The 22397-nt window shown below is 41.0% G+C and overlaps 1 protein-coding gene across 1 annotated transcript in view, besides 1 other annotated feature; it reads left to right on the top strand.

Annotated features, from left to right (window-relative positions):
* Positions 1-22127, top strand: part of GOLPH3 (golgi phosphoprotein 3) — a 49604-nt gene extending 27477 nt beyond the window's left edge. Inside the window, exons 2-4 of the mRNA NM_022130.4 lie at positions 2963-3094; positions 11157-11271; positions 20207-22127. Coding sequence (NP_071413.1) covers positions 2963-3094; positions 11157-11271; positions 20207-20631 — 672 coding nt within the window. The 3' untranslated portion in view covers positions 20632-22127. The remainder of the gene's footprint in view (positions 1-2962; positions 3095-11156; positions 11272-20206) is intronic.
* Positions 20000-21199: an enhancer, noted in NCBI's record as "CDK7 strongly-dependent group 2 enhancer chr5:32125750-32126949 (GRCh37/hg19 assembly coordinates)". NCBI's record gives its function as "activates an origin of replication core promoter dependent on BRD2, BRD4, P300/CBP, MED14 and CDK7 cofactors, with strong dependence on CDK7, by STARR-seq in HCT116 cells {active_cell/tissue: HCT116}" and the evidence as "EXISTENCE:reporter gene assay evidence [ECO:0000049][PMID:35650434]".
* Positions 22128-22397: the final 270 nt, after the last annotated feature.

The raw sequence follows: 22397 nt of genomic DNA, 5'->3' as shown, positions 1-22397 counted from the left end.
TATGGCCCAGGGAAGCCAAAAGATTGGACACTCTGCTTTAGATAATATAATTTTTTATCTGTTTCTCATGTAGAATATATATTATGAGCATTTTCCCATGTTGTAAATGTTTTTAATAACATATAAGGAAAATCTTATACTTCCGGTTATATCCCTGTTATGATCTTTATACAAAATATTTTTATTACATTTCATTTTGGGTTACCAACCTTTTGAGTTCCTTCTTAACAAAAAGCTTCTGGGTAAGTAGGCAGTTGAGAGCAGAACAGTAGCTCTTAACTGGAATGGTGAGAACTCTTCTCAGTGTTGGCAGTTTTAGGGGACTTAATAAACAATACCCTTTTCTACCATTCAAATTGAGCCACTTGAAAGAATAAAGGGAATCAGGCAGATGGAGGTCTGGTAGTGTATGGCCCAGCCTACTTGGGGTGTCTCTGTCCTCTCCCATCCTTATATTTTAGAACATAGGAACTAATTATGACTACAGTCATAAGCTGCTTGATGCTGCCAGTTACTAACCTTCCCCACATATTTTATCTTTTTTTTTTTTTTGAGATAGGGTCTTACTCCTGTCATCCAGGCTGGAGTGCAGTGGCATGATCATGGCTCACTGCAGCCTCAAGTTCCTGAGCTCAGGTGATTCTCCCACCTCAGCCTTCCAAGTAGCTGGGACCACAGACGGGTGCCACCATGCCCGGCTAATTTTTGTATTTTTTGTAGAGATGGGGTTTCACCATGTTGCCCAGGGGTCTGGAATTCCTGGGCTCAAGCAATCTGCTTGCCTCTGCCTCCCGAAGTGCTGGGATTACAGGTGTATGTCACTGCGCCTGGCCACCCTATGGTTAATTTTTGATCCTGCTTTTATGACATGGATTTTAGCAGGAGGGTATCAACATACTGTACTTTTCTGTTGTTTGGTGTGTCTTTGTTGGCTTCATTTATCTTTGGAATATTGCTGACGAGTCCCAGAAGCTGTGGTACAGAACTGTCCGTTCCCATTCATCTACTTTCCCATGTGAATCCAATTCTGTTTAAGCATGTGTCTTTCAGCGATGATGCCTAAAGCCATTCACTAAATTTAGATCTCTGAAGTCTGTTACTAAAGACCCCATTTTGCTAATATCTCTGGGTATGCCATTACTCTAGGAGCAATTGAGATTGAGACATATTTTAGTTCTCTGCTGTCAAATGTAAGCCTCCAGGTACTGTTCAGCTGGAGTTTGCAGGCTGTAGGGCTGTTCACGTCCATTATTGCTTTATGAGGTGTTCTCTGTTGTTTACAGTTTGTAGAGGCTCATTTAGGAACTCTGTCTATATGTCCAGGCCAGTCAAAGCCAGATATCTGTAACTTTAATTTCATGTGGAATTCATTCTCAGGCTTCCTAGGGCTTTAATTTCATGGACACAGAAGCCACGCATTTTACCTAACCTCTATAAAGTACTGGTATTATTAGCCACTTTGCTAAATCTCTGGTAATCTTCATTTGATCAGGCCCCGACCCTAAGTTTAAAGTGACTCCCTAAAATCCAGTCAGTGTCTGCTACTTACACCTCACATTTAAATTGATCTCTTAACACTGATGTTTTTGTTTATCCGCTTGTGCCTCCTTTAAATTGTTATTTTCCCAAAGGTCACATTCTCAGAAGTGGTAGCTTGGTGAGGCGAATTTAACTCCTTGTATCAAAAATGAAGTTTGATGGACCTCAATGGTCAGTCATCTTCTGAAACACAAGCTCACTACTCTGGCCTGACAAAGTGCCAGGATTGACCTTGGAAAAGTGCCAGAGGTGAGGGCCAGGCCTTCCTAATCCTGGGCCCTCCATTCTTTAGAGATTCAGTTGGCCTGTTCTCCTACCAAAATTGTGTTACCCTGTTCTGAGCCTTAATGAGAGTTATTTATAGCTTCTGCTGTCTCATGAGAACTGGGTATCTTAAATTGATAGCTGGCAATCCTGCTGGCAAGATTTGTGGCTTTATAATTTGAACAACCCCAGTTGTTTGCTGTTAAAGTGTCCTGACCTCATCTGGTGATGCCTGCTTGACCAGTATCCCAGATCTCTAGATGTCTATCAACCTCCTTATGTCTGGCCGTTCTTCCACTGTGGATGCTGCCCTTACATTCTCTCTTGGGGCCAATCTGATTGTTATACTGTTTATTATTGAGAATTTTAGGCCTATAGCCATCCATTTGTTTGTGGGCGCATGTGTGTTTTTCTAATATCTTCTTACAAAATTAACAGTGTGTGTATTTAAGAGACAATGTCGCACTGTTTTGCCCAGGCTGCAGTGTGTTGGTGTAATTATTGCTCACTGTAGCCTTGAACTCTTGGACACAGTGGTCCTCCTGCCTTAGCTTCCTGGGTAGCTGCGACTACAGGTGTGCAGCACCACACCTAGCTAATTAATTTTTTTTGGTAGAAACAGGATCTCACTATGTTGTCCAGTCTGGTCTCAAACTCCTGGGCTCAAGCCATCGTCTTGGCTCAGCCTCCCAAAGTGCTCGGATTAACCTTGTGGTTTTATCCTAAACAGCAATAAATGAATGGTATTCTAATTCTCTGTGAAGCTAACTTGGCTAGGTTGTCTTTGCCTGAGCTTCTTAACTTGTCCACATAAATAAATCACTATAATCTGGGGTTAACTGAGTATTCCTTGGAGTTTGCAGGGTTCTGAAAGAACCTAATAAACACACAGCTTGGTGAAATGTGAGTTATGTTTCTAAACTTATGACCTCTAAAGTTATTTGTTGTTTGTATGTAAGAATAAGTGGTGGAAAGATAAGCCCCCGAAAATTCTCGATTAGTAATTTATGTTAATTGTATTTTTTCAGTATATTATTATAGAAAGACAGGAAAGGTAAAAGGCACCAAATATGACTTTGGCTGATAATATTTCTGTTTTTTACTCTGAATTCAAGGTAAATTAGCTATTTTGTTTTATTTCTTCTTCTTTTTTTAATAGGGTTACACATCATTTTGGAATGACTGTATATCATCTGGATTACGTGGCTGTATGTTAATTGAATTAGCATTGAGAGGAAGGTTACAACTAGAGGCTTGTGGAATGAGACGTAAAAGTCTATTAACAAGAAAGGTAAGAGGAGTGCTGAGTAACATTCTTTTTAAAGAGGTTGTACTGCTTAAAATGTATGTTTTTACTAGTAGCCTTCAAAAATTAAAGTGGAAGTTGATATTAAAGTTGTCTTTCTTCAATTGTATTTCCATATCTTTTTTGCATTCTTGGTTTCCTGGTTCTTTCACCTACAATGAGTAATGTAATTGATTGTTAAGGTAACCGGCCACTGGATCTTACAAATTCAGAAAGATTCTAGACTTCATTTGCAGCTTTTATTTATTTATTTATTTTTAATTTTATTTTATTATTATTATTTTTTATTGATCATTCTTGGGTGTTTCTCGCAGAGGGGGATTTGGCAGGGTCACAGGACAATAGTGGAGGGAAGGTCAGCAGATAAACAAGTGAACAAAGGTCTCTGGTTTTCCTAGGCAGAGGACCCTGCGGCCTTCCGCAGTGTTTGTGTCCCTGGGTACTTGAGATTAGGGAGTGGTGATGACTCTTAAGGAGCATGCTGCCTTCAAGCATCTGTTTAACAAAGCACATCTTGCACCGCCCTTAATCCATTCAACCCTGAGTGGATACAGCACATGTTTCAGAGAGCACAGGGTTGGGTTTAAGGTCACCGATCAACAGGATCCCAAGGCAGAAGAATTTTTCTTAGTGTAGAACAAAATGAAAAGTCTCCCATGTCTACCTCTTTCTACACAGACACGGCAACCATCCGATTTCTCAATCTTTTCCCCACCTTTCCCCACTTTCTATTCCACAAAACCGCCCTTGTCATCATGGCCCGTTCTCAGTGAGCTGTTGGGTACACCTCCCAGACGGGGTGGTGGCCGGGCAGAGGGGCTCCTCACTTCCCAGTAGGCGCGGCCGGGCAGAGGCGCCCCTCACCTCCCGGACGGGGCGGCTGGCCGGGCGGGGGGCTGACCCCCCCCACCTCCCTCCTGGACGGGGCAGCTGGCCGGACAGAGGGGCTCCTCACTTCCCAGTAGGGGCGGCCGGGCAGAGGCGCCCCTCACCTCCCGGACGGGGCGGCTGGCCAGGCGGGGGGCTGATCCCCCCACCTCCCTCCCGGACGGGGCGGCTGGCCGGGCTTGGGGGCTGACCCCCCCACCTCCCTCCCGGACGGGGCGGCTGGCCGGGCAGGGGGCTGACCCCCCCACCTCCCTCCCGGACAGGGCGGCTGGCCGGGCAGAGTGGCTCCTCACTTCCCAGTAGGGGCGGCCGGGCAGAGGCGCCCCTCACCTCCCGGACGGGGCGGCTGGCTGGGTGGGGGGCTGACCCCCCCACCTCCCTCCCGGACGAGGTGGCTGCCGGGCGGAGACGCTCCTCACTTCCCGGACGGGGTGGCTGCTGGGCGGAGGGGCTCCTCACTTCTCAGACGGGGCGGCTGCCGGGCGGAGGGGCTCCTCACTTCTCAGACGGGGCGGTTGCCAGGCAGAGGGTCTCCTCATTTCTCAGACGGGGCGTCCGGGCAGAGATGCTCCTCACATCCCGGACGGGGCGGCAGGGCAGAGGTGCTCCCCGCATCTCAGACGATGGGCGGCCGGGCAGAGACGCTCCTCACTTCCCAGATGTGATGGCGGCCGGGAAGAGGCGCTCCTCACTTCCTAGATGGGATGGCGGCCGGGCAGAGACGCTCCTCACTTTCCAGACTGGGCAGCCAGGCAGAGGGGCTCCTCACATCCCAGACGATGGGCAGCCAGGCGGAGACGCTCCTCACTTCCCAGACGGGGTGGCGGCCGGGCAGAGGCTGCAGTCTCGGCACTTTGGGAGGCCAAGGCAGGCTGCTGGGAGGTGGAGGTTGTAGCGAGCCGAGATCACGCCACTGCGCTCCAGCCTGGGCACCATTTTGAGCACTGAGTGAACGAGACTCCGTCTGCAATCCCGGCACCTCGGGAGGCCGAGGCTGGCGGATCACTCGCGGTTAGGAGCTGGAGACCAGCCCGGCCAACACAGCGAATCCCCGTCTCCACCAAAAAAATACGAAAACCAGTCAGGCGTGGCGGCGCGCGCCTGCAATCGCAGGCACTCGGCTAGCTGAGGCAGGAGAATCAGGCAGGGAGGTTGCAGTGAGCCGAGATGGCAGCAGTACCGTCCAGCTTTGGCTCGGCATCAGAGGGAGACCGTGGAAAGAGAGGGAGAGGAGGGAGACCGTGGGGAGAGGGAGAGGGAGAGGGAGAGTCATTTGCAGCTTTTAAAAGCCATAATTTTGAAAGACTTGACATTAAAAACTCAGAAGTGTTATTGTGCAATTTACGCATAGGCTATTGATCTTTTCATCAGATTATGAATACTTTTCAGATACCTGTCTGTTGAAGGTCTGTGTAGGTGCTTCTCTTAATAGAGGTAATATTGGCTAGTTTTTAGAAATTTAACTTCAACCTCAATCTCAAATATTTAATACTGTTTTTCTTCCAGTTTGTTGTTGTGTTTCTTGAGCATGGTGTTTCAAAACTAGTTTTTTTCCTAAATCAGTGTCCTAATGAATCTAAAAGTTTTAGATCAGAGCGGAATGCATCTTGATTAATAAGCTATAGAGAATAATAGTTCTGTAGGAAAGAACACCATTCATGTATCTTTTTTTTTTTTTTTTTTGAGACTGAGTCTTGCTCTGTCACCCAGGCTGGAGTGCAGTGGCGTGATCTCGGCTCACTGCAACCTCTGCTTCCCTGGTTCAAGTGATTTACGTGCCTCAGCCTCCCAAGTAGCTGGTACTACAGGCGTGTGCTGCCACACCCAGCTAATTTTTGTATGTTTTGTAGAGATGGGGTTTTGCTATGTTGCCTGGGCTGCTCTCGAACTCCTGGGCTCAAGTGATCCGCTCGCCTTGGGCCTCCCAAAGTGCAAGGATTACAGGCGTGAGCTATCATGCCCAGCCCACTGTTTTCTAGTATACAGAGTTGCGGTAAAGTCTGGTGCCCTTCTGATTTTCTTTTCCTTTTTTTTTTTTTTTTTGGAGACAGAGTCTCACTCCATTGCCTGGGCAGGAGGGTGGTTGGTATGATCTTGGTTCACTGCAACCTCTGCTTTCCAAGTAGCTGGGACTACATAGGTATATGCCACCATGTCTGGCTAATTTTTTTTTTTTTTTTCTGAGACTGAGTGTCACTCTATCACCCAGGCTGGAGTGCAGTTGGTGCCATCTCAGCTCACTGTAACCTCCGCCTCCCTATCAGCCTCAAGCGATTCTCCTGCCTCAGCCTCCCTAGTAGCTGGGACTACAGGCATGCACCACCACACCCGGCTAATTTTTTTTTTTTTTATATGTTTAGTAGAGATGGGGTTTCACCATATTGGTCAGGCTGGTATTGAACTCCTGACCCCAAATGATCCACCTGCCTCCCAAAGTGCTGGGATTATAGGCGTAAGCCACTGTGCCCAGCCTCCTGGCTAATTTTTTTTGTTGTTTTATTTTTGTTAGAGATAAGGTCTTACTTTATTGCCCAGGCTGGTCTTGAACGCTTGGGTTCAAGTGATCCTCGTGCCTTGTCCTCCCAAAGAGCTGGGATTACAGACGTGAGCCACTGTGCCGGGCCTCCTTCTGTTTTTTCAATCTTATTTTTTTTTTTTCCTCTAGAAGCATTTGGGATCTTCTGTTATCCTTGTTGGTTTTCTGAAATTGTACGATATGCCTTAATGTGGGTCATTTTAAATTCATTATGCATTAATTTTTTCAGTCTAGAAATGTGTATATTTTGGTTTTGAAAACTTGTATTTCTGATATCTTTTGCCCTCTTTTTCTAGAACTCTGTAAATTGGATACGGACTTCTTGGCTACTCTTAAAGAGTTGTCTTCTAACCTTTCTGTTGAGATTTTATTGTGACTCTCCTGTTTTTGATTTCCATGAGCTTCCTTTTTAAAAATCGTAGTTTGTTTTATGGATGTAATACCTTCTTTTAGATTTCTGAGGGTATCACACCTCTTTTGAAAATTTCCTTTATCTGTATTATATCTGTTTCTTCAGAGTTCTTATTTTCTCTTTTTGATCTCTTCTGTGTTGGAAGCTTTCTTTCACGTTATCCGTGATTGTCTGTTTATATTTAGGAATGGTTCCCGTCCCCCCAAAAAAAGAAGCTAAATAAAAATGATATGTTTGGATAGAACATATTTATTTGTGAACCACACTTACTACTGAATTTTTGAAAGGAATTTAGAACTAACTCGAGTCATTGAAAAGTTGTAAGCAGAAGCAGTGGAATGCCATGGTAAGATTTGTCTGTTAGAAAGATCAGTGAGGAGAATGGATTGAAAAGGCTAAAACTTGTTTAGGGAAATTAGTTAAGAGGCTTAAATTAATCCAAGTGAAAAACAGCCAGATTAGGCAGACTAGAATATAGTTGTTCCTCAGTATCTGTGGGCGATTGGTTCTAGGACTCCCCTCAAATATCAAAATCTGGATGCTCAAGTTTCTTATATAAAATGTTGTAGTGTTTGCATATAACCTATGCACATCCTCTTCTATACTTTATGTCACCCCCAGATTACTTACAATACCTAATACAATGTAAATGCTGTATAAACAATTGTTATACTGCATTTTAAAATTTGTATTATTTTTCCTGGATATTTTTGATCCTCAATTGGTTGAATCTATAGATATGGAAGGCCGACTATATTGGCAAGATGATGGAGAAAAGTGAAACATTTCAGAAAGATTTAGAGGACAGAACTTCATAAGAAAAAGTGATTCACTATACCCAGGCTCTGGTGTCCCTGACATAAGATCCGTTGCAAACGGATGTGCGTGGGCGAGCTTTGAGGCCAAATTGCAATAAATATAAAGAATGAGTGGGACGTAAGAAGTGGTGGCAATGGCCACCATATTTAGATGTAACTTTTTCTCCTGAGGCTCTGCTTTCTTTATTTTCTTGTGCTCTCTCACCCTTCACTGAAAGCATGGTCTAGAATAGCACTGTTTGATGGAACTTTGATGATGAAAATGATCTGTATGTTCAATATGGTAGCTACTAGCTACATACATCTATGAGCCAGACACTTAAGCACTTGAAGTTTGGCTACTGCACATTGACACATGGTGTTAGTAAAAACATACACTGGATACACTGGATTTTTGGTCTTAGTATGGAAAAATATATTAAGTACCTCAATTTAAAAATACTTATTACATGTTAATATTTTGGTTGTATTTGGTTAAATCAAAATATTAAAATTAATTTTGCCTTTTTTTCTTTTAAAATATAACTACTAGAAAATTTAAGAGCGGGGAGGGATAGCATTAGGAGATATACCTAATGCTAAATGACGAGTTAATGGGTGCAGCACACCAACATGGCTCATGTATATATACGTAACAAACCTGCACGTTGTACACATGTACCCTAAAACTTAAAGTATAATAATAATAAAATAAAATAAAATTGAAGAATAGATTTGTGACTTGTACTGTGGTTTTTATATTTCTGCTGGTCATGATGTCACAGAGATAGATACTGTATGTATATATTTTTAATTTTTTATAAGATTGACAAAGTAAAGGACACTTTGAGGACAAGTTTAAGAGAGGACTCTCAGCATTTTAAAAGTGATGTTAAATTGGTGGGGCACGATGGCTCATGCTTGCAATCCCAGCACTTTGGGAGGCCGAGGTGGACAGATCACAAGGTCAGGAGTTCAAGACCAGCCTGCCCAACTTGATGAAACCCTGTCTCTACTAAAAATACAAAAATTACCCGGATGCGGTGGTGTGCACCTGTAATCCCAGCTATTTGGGAGTCTGAGGCAGGAGAATTGCTTGAACCCTGGAGGCGGAGGTTGCAGTGAGCTGAGATCACGCCATTGCACTCTAGGCTGGGCAACAGAGTGAGACTCCATCTCAAAAAAAAAAAACAAAAAAAACCGTAATGTTAAATTTTATGACATTTAAATAGCTAACATTATAAAATAATACAATACAATGGATTTAATTTTGATATTATGGAATTTTAACTAGAAACTTATAGCTTAGCCAACAACGTGAATGAAGGCTATAGGGTTCTAATACTTGTCTACAGCGGTGTAACATTTTCCCTCCCATCTCTCCCTCTGGATTTTTCCACTTTTAAAATGGATTCTATATCTCAATGTAGCTTTCTGTTTGGAAACAGATTTTTGCTCTTGTCGCCCAGGCTGGAGTGCAAAGGTGCGATCTCAGCTCACTGCAGCCTCCACCTCCTGGGTTCAAGCAATTCTCCTGCCTCAGCCTCCCAAGTAGCTGGGTTTACAGGCATGCGCCACCACACCTGGCTAATTTTTGTATTATTAGTAGAGACCGGGTTTCACCATGTTGGCCAGGCTGGTCTCAAACTCTTGACCTCAGGTGATCCACCCGCCTTGGCCTCCCAAAGTGCTGGGATTATAGGAGTGAGCCACTGCATCCAGCCTCAGTGTAGCTTTTTTTAAAAAAAAGTTGCAGTATTTAAAAAATTTATGTAATCAACGCTATTGATAATTTCTTTAAGCTTTCTGCTAGTCGGGACAATTTTAAAAGAAACCTTTCAGGGCCAGGTGCAGTGGATCATTCCTGTCATCCCAGCACTTTGGGAGGCCGAGGTGGGTGGATTACCTGAGGTCGGGAGTTTGAGACCAGCCTGACCAACATGGAGAAACCCCATCTTTACTAAAAATACAAAATTAGCCAGGCGTGGTGGCACACACCTGTTATTCCAGCTACTTGGAAGGCTGAGGCAGGAGAATTGCTTGTACCGGGGAGGGCAGAGGTTTGCAGTGAGCCGAGATTGCGCCACTGCACTCCAGCCTGGGTGATGAGCAAAACTCCATTTCCAAAAAAGAAAAAAAAGAAACCAAGAAACCTTTCTTACCTCTATAATTTGTTAGCAAGTTTTAATGACATTTGTTTAAAAATTTGTTTCTTCACTGATGTGAAATACCACCTTTATAATATAAGATTGAGTATCCTATATCTGAAATGCTTGGTAACAGAAATGTTTAAGATTTTGGAATTTTCTGGATTTTGGAATATTTGTATTATACTTAAGCATTCCTGACTTCAAAATTTAAAATCCAGAATGTTCCAATGGATGCATGTTGGTGCTCAAAAAGTTTCAGATTTTGAAGGAGTTCGGATTTTCGGATTAGGGACGTTCAGCCTGTACTGAATTCTTAAATATAATTTAGTCTTATTTCTGGGACTAATAATAATGCTTAAATGAATTTCTGGATCACATAGTCCAAGGTTCGGTGATGAGTCAGTGAGTATAAACTGTCCTAGTATGTTGCTTTACTAATTATTGCACAGTAGCTTTTTTTTTTTTTTTTAAGTCGGAGTTTTGCTCTTGTTGCCCAGTCTGGAATGCAGTGGCACAATCTCGGCCCGCTGCAACCTCTGCCTCCTGGGTTCAAGCAATTCTCCTGCCTCAGCCTCCAGAGTAGCTGGGATTACAGGCACCTGCCACCACGCCCAGCTAATTGTTTGTATTTTTAGTAGAGATGGGGTTTCATCATTTTGGCCAGGCTGGTCTTGAACTCCTGACCTCAGGTGATCCACCCGCCTCGGCCTCCCAAGGTGCTGGGATTACAGGAGTGAGCCACCATGCCCGGCCAGTAGCTTGCTTTTCTTTTCTCTTTGAGATAGTCTCACTCTTTCGTCCAGGGTGGAGTGCAGCGGCGTGATCTTGGCTTCCTGCAGCCTCTGCCTCCTGGGTTCAAATGATTCTCCCACCTCAGCTACCCGAGTAGCTGGGATTACAGGCGTGCACCACCACACCTGGCTAATTTTTGTATTTTTAGTAGAGACAGGGTTTTGCCATGTGGGCCGGGCTGGTATCGAATTCCTGGCTTCAAGTGATCTGCTTGCCTCAGCCTCCCCCTGGGATTCAGGCATGAGCTACTGAGTCTAGCCAATTTTCATTCATTATTATATCTAATCTGGTTAGGTTAAATATTGGATTTCCTTAACATAAAAGTAATTTAAAATCTGAACTTTGATACTACATGAAAGCTTGAGGCTTTAAGCATAATGAATTATTTATATAATTGTTTGTTTTTCATTTAATGAGATCAACTCAGAAAAGGCATTCGTGGATCCTTTCATTCTTTTTGCTTTCTTTTTAGGTAATCTGTAAGTCAGATGCTCCAACAGGGGATGTTCTTCTTGATGAAGCTCTGAAGCATGTTAAGGAAACTCAGCCTCCAGAAACGGTCCAGAACTGGATTGAATTACTTAGTGGTAAGCTGCTGTGAATAAACCAAAAACCAACTTCTGTTTAAAAGATTGCGAAGTTTAAATCCTTTTGAAAGGAACCTACACAAAATAGCCAGAAGCTTGTTTAGTTATTTAGGCAAACTTGAAAGTTATCAGTCATAGAGTGGGGAAGTAATGGTTTTTATAAAATTTCATTCTCTTTAACAATACTGAACAGATATAGAATGCGAAGATAATACTCTTAGAGCTCCCATGTTCTTTATCAAAATTACCACATGCTACCTTAATCTGGATAGGCTAGGTTAAGCTGTGGTGGTAACAAACCCCAAAACCTCAGTTGCTTAAAACAACCATTTATTTCTCATTCAGGCTGTAAGTCAGTCACAGGCTACCTCATCCTCACTCTGGCAGCCAGGCAGATGGAGCCACTGCCACCTGGAGCAGTATCAGTCACTATAATAAAAGGAGGAATACCATAGCACATCACTCTGGCTCTTAAGTTTCTGCTTAGAAATGACATGTGGTTCATGTTTCATTGATCAGAGCAAATCACACAATCTCCCCTAACTTCAAGGAGACAGGGAAGTGCAACCTTAGGGAGGAGAACGTGAAAAGTTTGGCTGATAGCATGGAGGACTGTGACGTTTATATTAAAGTTATTTGTGTATTAACATGATGTGAGTTTTCTTACAGATAAGCAGAATTTATAAAAGTCCTATTGGATTATTCTTCTGTCAGTAAAAGAGGTTTTTTTAGGGGTTGGGGGACTAGTCAAGTGAAACAGTGGGAGTGGGAGGGAACAAAAAAATCTAACTTGTGATCAGTTAGCTGTAAATAACTGCTGTACTTGGACCAGCTGATTTTATTTATATGTATACATAAATATTTTTCTTTTTAAGAGACAGGGTCTCACTCTGTTGCCCAGGCTGGAGTGCAGTGGCATGATCCTAACTCACTATAACCTTGAACTAAGTCCTGGACTCAAGTGATCCACAGCCTCTGCCTCAGCCTCTGGAGTAGCTAAGACTACAGGTGTGTGCCACCATGCCTCGCTGAGTTTTTTTTTTTTTTTTTTATTTTATTTTTTGGCCAGGCATGGTGGCTCATTACTGTAATCCCAGTACTTTGGGAGGCTGAGGCGGGTGAATCTCCTGAGCTCAGGAGTTCAAGACCAGCCTGGGCAACCTGGTGAAACCCTGTTTCTACCAAAAAACACAAAAGAATTAGCCAGACATAGTGGCACATGCCTGTGGTCCCAGCTACTTGGAAAGCTGAGGTGGGAGGATCGCTTGAGCCTAGGAGACGGAGGTTGCAGTGAGCCAAGATCATGCCACTGCACTCCAACCTGGGTGACAGAGTGAGACCCCGTCTCAAGAAAAAAAATTTTTTGTAGAGATAGGACCTTGCTGTGTTGCTCAGGCTGGTCTTGAGCTCCTGGCCTCCAGTGGTGCTTCATCAAGGCTTCCTAAAGCCCTGGGACTATAAGCATGAATCACCATGCTCAGTCTATATTTATTTGTTTATTTAAAAATTAAGTACATACACTCCATTTTTAGCTAACGGCAATAATGGGCACTTTACACTTAAGGCAAGGTTCATTATTTTTTCTTATTGGTAAGAACGTAAACGTATTCTTGATAAATTTGCATTTTTGTTGGATAACCCTCTTCTACCTCTGATAATTTTCCTTTTTATCTCATTGAGAGTAACTCTGACTTATACTTTCCCCCCTTTATGCTTATTAGAGTTGTCTTCAGTTGTAATTTCTTTTGCAAGAATCTTTTAAAATTGCTTTGCCCATTTGATGAGGGCTTGTTTGGTTAAAACTAGATTATATTATCAGCAAATTCACTTAATCATCACAAATACCCATCACATTGTCAATGCTGTCTGAGTTAGCCTCCCATGTATGCCTGTCAGTGACATGCAGCCATCTAACAGAGACTCAGGGCATTAATGTCAACTCTATATGTTAAATATTAGTAAACATAATGTTTTAAAATAGAAATAGAACTGCTAATAACGTTTATACTGTGATGGATCATTTTGTACATTGTTTTCAGAGCACTGGCTTAACCAGTCTTTGGATCTTTCTCATGTTGTGCTGCCAGTGTTGGCCCATGACTGCTTCTGGTGTTGCAAATTAGAATTTGTAATTTGGTTCCCAGCTGACCAAAAGAAGGGTTTCTCAAAGTTGTGGTGACTTTTTTTGTTAGATGTGTTACAGTGTTAAAGATTCTTTTTATGGAATGTAGAGTGGGCTTTGCCTTCACTTTCCTGTTACTGAAATGCATCTTACACTTAACCTGTTAAGTAACATTTTGTAAATGAAGCTTATCAATATAAATGCTAACTGAACTTGGTTCTCACCTATGGCTGCTGTTGCACTGTCCCCACTTGATTAAGCAGTGAAAAGATGAGAAGTCTAAAAGCTTTTCTCACAAGTATGTAAACACAGTTAGGATTTTGTAAAGCACTGTCTGTTTGGATTAGAAATTTGGGTAAAATGTGAAACTAATACTTAGCAAGGTTTTTTAAAAAACAATGTCCTGTGAGTTTTAGATTGGCTGTTGATGCCAGAACATTGCCTGTAGCACTTGAGTTGCTTGCTCTTGACATACATTGGGAATGCTGCTGCTTCAGAATAAAGGAAGGGAATCCAGAGTGGGAGAAGGAGGAAAAAGGACTTTTTTTAAAGTTAAAAAAATTAAAAAAAATCTCCTGGCAAATAACATGTAAAAAGAAGAAAATAAAAAATATCTATTTCCCACCTAATTGAAAGTATCAAGATACCAGCTTGCTGATTTTTTAATTGTAGTAAAATATATATAATGTAACTTTTACCATTTTTACCATTTTTAAGCATACAGTTCTTTGGCTAGCTTGCTGATTTTTAGATTTTTAAAAATTTTCTGTTGCTTCAATATAATATGTGGTATCAAACACCAGTTATTGCACCAATAATGACATATGTGCTATGAAATTTAAAATGTGCTCTCAGACTGAAAGAATCTTAAAATCCATTTGGGGAACAGTTTTATACATCTAATAATTTGATAGAACAGATGAGAGTTTGACAGTATGGTTCTCTGAAAGTTCAGTAGTTCAGAGAAAAGAAAAATCCTTGGGAACTTTAGTAGTTACAAGAGGAAGTGGAGCTTAGATTAGGCCTTTGAAGGGTAAGAATGAGATGCAAAGAAAGAAATATACTTGTTCAGAGGGATTCCTTGCCGTGAAGCCAAGGAATGTTTTAATAAAGAACAGTTTCTTTACCTGGGGTGGAGGATACCCAGGGGCTCATTTTATTATTATTTATACTGTACATGTATACATGTTAAAACTCTTGATAAATTTTAAACATTTTCTAATAATTTAAAATTAGTATACATAAGTTTGAGGCAAGTCGAGAGACTACGTATTTTGTTTGTTTTGTTTTGTCTTTGGGACAAAGTCTCGCCATCACCCAGGCTGTAGTGCAGTGGTGCAGTCACAGCTCACTGCAGTCTTGACCTCCCAGGCTCAGTTGATCCTCCTGCCTTAGCCTCCCAAGTAGCTGGGACTACAGGCATGTGCCACCACGCCCAGCTAATTTTTGTATTTTTTTGTAGAGATGGGGTTTCATCATGTTGCCCAGGCTAAGACTACTGTTTAAGAATAGTTTTTAGCTTCTGAAATCTTAAGGCATGGTTGATCAGTTTGGTCACAAGGAATCACTACACTGCCAAATTTATGGCCAAAGCTGCTTTTAGTTTTGTAAGATGATGTCAAGGAAGATAAGTGTTCTTTGCAGTGAAATGATTTAGGTACCTGTCAGCATGTCATTCTCCACCAAAGTGATTGTTGGGCAGTGGACATGAATAATCTTTGAAGAACTTTTCCTCTCCGTATTTACTTCTCACAATTTCCTTTACCAAAAAAAGTAAACTATGAATAGATTCATTACATTTTAAATTTGCTTGTATAACTTGTAAAGTCTTTTCACATATATGGTGAATAATTTAGGGACTGAGGACTAACAGCATGGATCGCAGTAACGTCTTTTAATCTAGAATTCAAGAACTATTCATTTATCAAGCATTTATTTCAAAGTATTTAAAAAGTATTCACTTTTAAAAATTGAAGTAGCTAAATCTTTAGAAGCTAAACTTTTATTGCATCTTCTCCTCAGAAATCCATCTATTGTCTTCCTATCCCACTTATACTGATGTCTTACTTACGCTAAACTCAGGTGTGACTTTATTCTTTTGATTTAGCTTAGTTCTTCGAAAATAAAAGGCAGAAATTCCAGAATACCAAGATACTTTGACCACTTGGTTATTACTTTGTGCCTTTTTTCTATACCACAAATACTATTAAACAACATTTGGGATATTTCCTCACAGTTTTAGCCTTCTGCTCGTGAGATTTCTTTATTTTTCTCTAATACTTGAGGAGATCTGAATAACCGTCTATTTGTTGGAGTGAGCACACGGGGTTTACCCTCTTCCCAGGGAATTGCTACAAGAGAAGATGATAGCTGGGTCCCTTTTTATTGCTTCCTTTGAGTCAGAAATGATTGCCAGTAGGAAGGGCCAGTCATAAGTGGAATACTTTATTTGAAGGTGGTCTGTGTTTAGGCTCTTCTAATTTTTAGTAGAAACATTAAACTGTAAGTTAGTATACTTTGGAATTGGGAAATTTCCACAGGAACTTCTGTAAAATTTACTAAGCATGTATTTCCACTGGTTGCAATATGTAAGTTTTAACTAAGGATAAGGTGAGGATAAACCTTAGCATAAGTTCAGTATAAGAGACAGTAGTCATAAACTATTAATCCCACTTAATTCCCATGAGAAAAAAAAATATTGTAGAACAGCATTAGAGGGATGTGTGTATAGGGGAGGGGGTGTTTTTTTTGGGTGGGGAGTGGAAAGCTGCAAAGAGAAGTTTAACTGTAGATCTCTCAGAATAATTCGTTTCTTGACTTTTTTTTCCCCTCTGTTGTTTGGCAGTAGATGTTGTTTGGCTAAGATGTCTCTGGAGTATAGAATTCCTTCCTATTTGACTTGGGAAGGTAAAATAAAAATGGATAGCTTGGGAGTCATTTATTCTGCTATACTTAGGTTTTGTGACAACATAAACATATTAAGTCAGTGATACCAAATTAGAGTTGATAGGGGATAATACTTCTTTGATAACAACAAATTATTCTTTACATAATTAATTAATCTTAGGATTGAACTGTAGTTTTTTAAATAGGCTTTTATGTAAGTTTGGCTGTTTATTATTTTATGTTGCATTAGTTTAAATTTCCCTAAGTCGTTTAACACAATAGTTACCCAATTCCAGCCTAGTGTCTTAGGCTGCCTAACACCTGCCATTGACATTAGAAAAAGCAAAACTCATACTAGTGAAAGATGCAGCAGTTATTTATTGGTGGGACATTGGGTTTACACAATTATAAAAAAATGGAAGTGGCTGGGTGCGGTGGCTCATGCCTGTAATCCCAGCATTTTGGGAGGCCCAGGTGGGTGGATCACGATGTCAGGAGATCGAGACCATCCTGGCTAACACGGTGAAACCCCATCTCTACTAAAAATACAAAAAATTAGCTGGGCATGGTGGCAGGTGCCTGTAGTCCCAGCTACTTGGGAGGGTGAGGCAGGAGAATGACGTGAACCCAGGAGGCGGAGCTTGCAGTGAGCCCTGATCACACCACCGCACTCCAGCCTGGGCGACAGAGTGAGACTCCGTCTCAAAAAAAAAAAAGGGTGGAAGTTACACACTTTTGAAAGATGTGTGCCTCTACTCCAGGGCTTATTCTATTCTGCTGCCTATGTACTTTGTTGTTTCTTTTGCCTGGAATTCAGGCTTCTCTCCCTTTCGTAGGATGTGGTGAATCCTGCTGGATTTCGAGATTTAGCTTGAAGATTCTTTTTTTCTATAACTTTCCTATGAAATACCCCATAACATTAAACCAGAGTCATTTCTTACTCCTCTAGGCACTTTGTTCATTTTGTTCTTATGGCCCTATTCCCATTTTCTTCTGGCCAGTATAGTTAGTTCTAATATGTAATATATTATGAATGTTATTTTCACTTGATTTTAAATTCCTACAGGGTTAGAAGTATATCCTAATGTTTGTATTCTCAGTACCTAACAGGATTCTTAGAACATTATAAATACTATAAATTCTGCCAGAATGTTTATTCTGCACATGGGCAAATAATAGCTAACATTTACTGAGAGCTTACCATGTGTTAGGCTTCGTTCTAAGAACTTGATATTTAATCCTCGTAATAGCCCTATGAGCTTGATAAATTTGTTACTTTCACTTTATAGATGAGTAAATGGAGAAATAGATTAAGATGACTTGCACTAGGACACTAGGGTTTTTTTGGTTTTGTTTTTTGGGGGTTTTTTTGTTTTTGTTTTTGAGACAGTCTTGTGCTTGTCACCCAGGCTAGAGTGCAGTGGTGCAATCTCGGCTCACTGCAACCTCCGCCTCCCGGGTTCAAGCGATTCTCCTGCCTCAGCCTCCCGAGTAGCTGGGATTACAGCCACCTGCTACCATGCCTGGCTAATTTTTGTATTTTTAGTAGAGACAGGGTTTCACCATCTTGGCTTCCCAAAGTGCTGGGATTACAAGCGTAACCCGCCATGCCTGGCCCCGGCTAACTTTTGTATTTTTTGTAGAGACGGGATTTCACCATGTTGCCCAGGCTGGGACTGTTTCTGTTGACTCCCCCCTTACCCCTAGTTTTAGGTCACTTTTTTGCTGCTTTGCAAGTTTAGTGATTTTTTTTTTTTTTTAACTTCGATGCTGGACAGTGTGAATGTTAAGTGATGAATTTTATGGTCTTTCTTTAAAGAGTGTTGAATTTTGTCTTGGTAGGCAGCTAAGTTACTTGTGGATCAACTTGTTTTTAATTTTTTGTTTTTGTTTTTAAATTGTGAGATGGAGTTTCACTCTTGTTGCCTAGGTTGGAGAGCAATGGCACGATCTCGGCTCACTGCAACCTCTGCCCTCCCCCGGTTTAAATGATTCTCCTGCCTCAGCCGTCCGAGTAGCTGAGATTACAGGCAACTGCCACGATGCCCGGCTAATTTTTTGCAGTTGTAGAAGAGATGGGGTTTCACCATGTTGGCCAGGCTAGTCTCGAACTCCTGACCTCAGGTGATCCACCCGTCTGGGCTACCCACAGTGCTGGGATTACAGGTTTGAGCCACCGCGCCTGGCCGCTTTTAATCTTTATTAGGGCATGTCTAGGGTGGTCTATACTCTAGGACTGGTTTAGCCCTACTACTAAGATGTGAATTTTCTAGTATTCCTTCTGAATGTCCTGGTTTTTAGTGAGGCTTTTGCTCTCTGGCTAGTTGGCAATCACATTTTTCCCAGCTCTACTGAACTCTTAGAATTGTTCACTTTCTGGTAGGTGTTCTTTGCCTAGCTTTGTGGAATTTCTCACCCTAACACATGTAGCTTTAGCTTTCAGCCCAAGACTCAAGGAACACCTTGCAGATTTCTAGACCTCTTTATCTGTGTAGGTCCCCCTTCTCCAGTAGTCTGCTTTGCACACTGCAGCTGCCTTAGCTACCCTGAACTCTGATCTCTGCTGCCTTAACGTGATGGGACTGCTGTGCTCTGCTTGGGTTCTTCCTGCCTGCTCTGCTGCCTGGGACGTGCCTCTAGGTGGTAAGCTTAGGCAGTTGTCAGGCTCACATAGGCTGCACTCAAGTGTCACAGTTCTGGGCTGCTTTTGACTAGTGTCTGAAAACAGTTTTTTCGTATATTTTATGGAGATTTCTAATTACAATGAGAGGGCAGCTTTAGGAATGATTACTTCATCATAGGCCTATGTTGTTTAGTATTAAGTATAGGAAAATAATTGTGTCTCTGTCCAGTTGAATGGTAATATATTTTAAGACAGCAACTTAAAATTTTAAGATAGTCCGCTAGAACTTTCTTTGATGATGAAAATGTTCTGTTCCTGTGGGGTGTAGCCACTGGCCATACGTCACTATTGTATACGTGAAATGTGGCTAGTGCCACTGAAGAGATGAATTTTTAAATTAATTTAAATAGCTCTATGTGGGTAATGGCTCCTGTAATGGACAGTGTGGCTGAAGGTTTTCTCTCAGTATTAGAAAATCTCGACCTTACAACGTTTGCATTTAAAAAAGATGCCTGTGGTTGATCTTTAACATATTCTAATTTAGAAAAATATAGTTTTTTTAAGTATAAAAATAGTTGCATGTTCATTGGAGATCATTTGGAAAATGCAGAAAGCACAAAAAAAGTTGAGCACACATAATCCCAAAGATAAGTAAGATTAATATTTTGGTGTATTTCCTTCCAGTTTTCTATAAAGAAGAACCCACTTTAGTGAAAAATCGTTTGGTTTTATTTTAAATATTTCTCTCTCAAAAGGAAATATGTATGGATGGCAAGGTTAAAATTGTGAAAATTTGTATCCTTCCAGAATTAGCTTTATATTGTTATCAAATAATAGCATGGCCTAAACAGGCTTTCCTACCTCTATAGGCTGTATATGTGTAGCAGTTTCAGGAATAACATATTAATCAGGAAGCTTTTTTTTTTAGTCTATTAGTTGCAGACTGGTGTTTAATAGAAAACTTATTTGGCTATTGGCTGCTTTTTGACTTCAGCTGGAAGGAAGCTCAAACATAATATTTGGCTCATTTCCACATAAGACTAAGGGTTACTGACTCTGGTCTGAAGACTGCTTGCAGTTTAGTCGTCTGAGTGACTCCTGTGGCTGAGGATGTGCTGGGTGCTTAGAATCCAAAGGTCTGGCTAGGCTTAAGGGGTTCATGGTCTAGTTAGGGAGAAAAACATGGCAGATTTTCTTCTGTTTTTCTTGGGGCAAAATCAGATTTTACTGTTTAATAGTACAAAATTTTTGCAAAATTAGCAGATAATACTCATCATTTCTAACTTCTGAAATCTTTTGTTTAGGTGAGACATGGAATCCATTAAAATTGCATTATCAGTTAAGAAATGTACGGGAACGATTAGCTAAAAACCTGGTGGAAAAGGGTGTATTGACAACAGAGAAACAGAACTTCCTACTTTTTGACATGACAACACATCCCCTCACCAATAACAACATTAAGCAGCGCCTCATCAAGAAAGTACAGGAAGCCGTTCTTGACAAATGGGTGAATGACCCTCACCGCATGGACAGGCGCTTGCTGGCCCTCATTTACCTGGCTCATGCCTCGGACGTCCTGGAGAATGCTTTTGCTCCTCTTCTGGACGAGCAGTATGATTTGGCTACCAAGAGAGTGCGGCAGCTTCTCGACTTAGACCCTGAAGTGGAATGTCTGAAGGCCAACACCAATGAGGTTCTGTGGGCGGTGGTGGCGGCGTTCACCAAGTAACTCTGCTCGGGGTGAACCATTCTCCTTTCTCTCAAGTAAACCAGTAGTTTTTCTTCTGTTGACTTCTGGTTTTCTGTAATTTGTACTTTCCCACACTATAATTGGCTTCTGTTTTACAAAATGGTGGGTGGCTTTTTCTTTTTTGTACGTGTACAGGATTCTGCTGGTACGAGAGGCCTTCCTCTTTCTGTTTTTAAAAAAAGTTTTACTGCCATATTGGCATTCCATTCCCTGTTGCCATCCTCACTGTTACCTGTTTTGGGTTTCTGGTCTACTTTGACTTTCAAAGTACCTCCAGCCTCCTCATACGCACAGCTTTTGGATGACCTCAGCTTGAGTTTCTCCATATGTGCATGTACATCTAGCATTCTGCCTACAGTTCAGACAGAAGTCACAAAAAGGCCTTCAACTCACCAAAGGTAAATATCTGTATCTATTAGGACATTTTTTACATAGACTTCAGTTGAGATGTATACTTAGCAAAATTATTTTTAAATTGAAACAGCACAGTAAATACTTAATATAAAATGTCCCTTGGATTTTGCTTCCCATGTAAATCTATTGTATTATTACACTTGTTATAATTTTAACTATAAAGGTCCAATTGTTTCACAGAGCCAGTTTGGGATGGGCTGCATTCCATTTATGCTGTATATAGTTTGAATTATATATAAATTACCCCTTCTTCTGGCCACCCCTGCTCCCATCTTAGTATTTTGCAAGATCTAATCAGTTGTACACCTGGTGCCCCTCGCTTGCTTCAATCATGGTTATTTGATGGCAAAATCGACCTCTTGTCGCTGAAGGAGAGAGAAAAGATGTGTGTCTGATTGGTCCTGGGATTTTTTGAGCTGTGCCATTTATGGTACTCTTTGCCTATGCATCCCCTTGTTAGATTTTTTTTAAATTTTATCTTACTGTTTTTATAATTTCTATTGGGAAGAGGCTTGTGACCAGTACCAATCTTGAGTTTCTTTTTCTGTCCACAAGTAAATTAATATCTGCTCTGAAATGTCATTTATCTACTCACACATTCTTGGGGAAAAAAATCAAATGTCAGTCCTAGCAGATGTTGCATGTAAATTGGTAGCAAGTAATGATTACAACCCAGAGGATTAAGAATTTTGTAACAGAAAGCTCTATGTTTTAATTTTTTATATACAATTAGGATAATTAGCATTGTCAGACTATAAACCTTTGCTTTTTAAAGTTTATTTTTACTATTTCTTTATCACTTTATTGTATCATCACCATTGGTTTCATAATGTAAATACTATATGTTGAACAAATTAAATGTCAAAATTTTTTATTACCATAGTCCATGTTAATAGTGGGGCTTTCAGGTGTTTAGAGATTTTTTTTGTTGTTGTTAACATTCATTGCAAAAGTACTAGATGGTGTATAACTCTAGAGTTGAATTTTAAGGGATTCCCTAATATGTATACTATCTTTTTATCTGAAGTAATAAATAAACAATGATCTTGAAAGTGCCTGAATCAGAGCAAGCATGTCATTTGTGTTTTTGTATTCTCATTTAGTTTTCTTTCAAATGAAATGTTACTTACTGTAGCATTGTAATATTTTAATGCAGGGCTTGGGTTTCTTAAAGGGCCAGATAGTAGATATTTTAGGCTTTGTGAGCCGCCAGCTGTGTCAGTTGCAACTACTGAACTTTACTGAATGAAAACTGTTATAGATAATACAAATAAATAGGTTAGACTGTGTTCCAATAAAACTTTATTTGCAAAAACGGGGCTGGTCAAGGC

Source organism: Homo sapiens, chromosome 5 (genome assembly GCF_000001405.40).
Source record: "Homo sapiens chromosome 5, GRCh38.p14 Primary Assembly".
NCBI lineage: Eukaryota > Metazoa > Chordata > Mammalia > Primates > Hominidae > Homo > Homo sapiens.
Note: the sequence above shows the minus strand (reverse complement) of the source record. Positions and strands in the feature narration are given on the sequence as shown.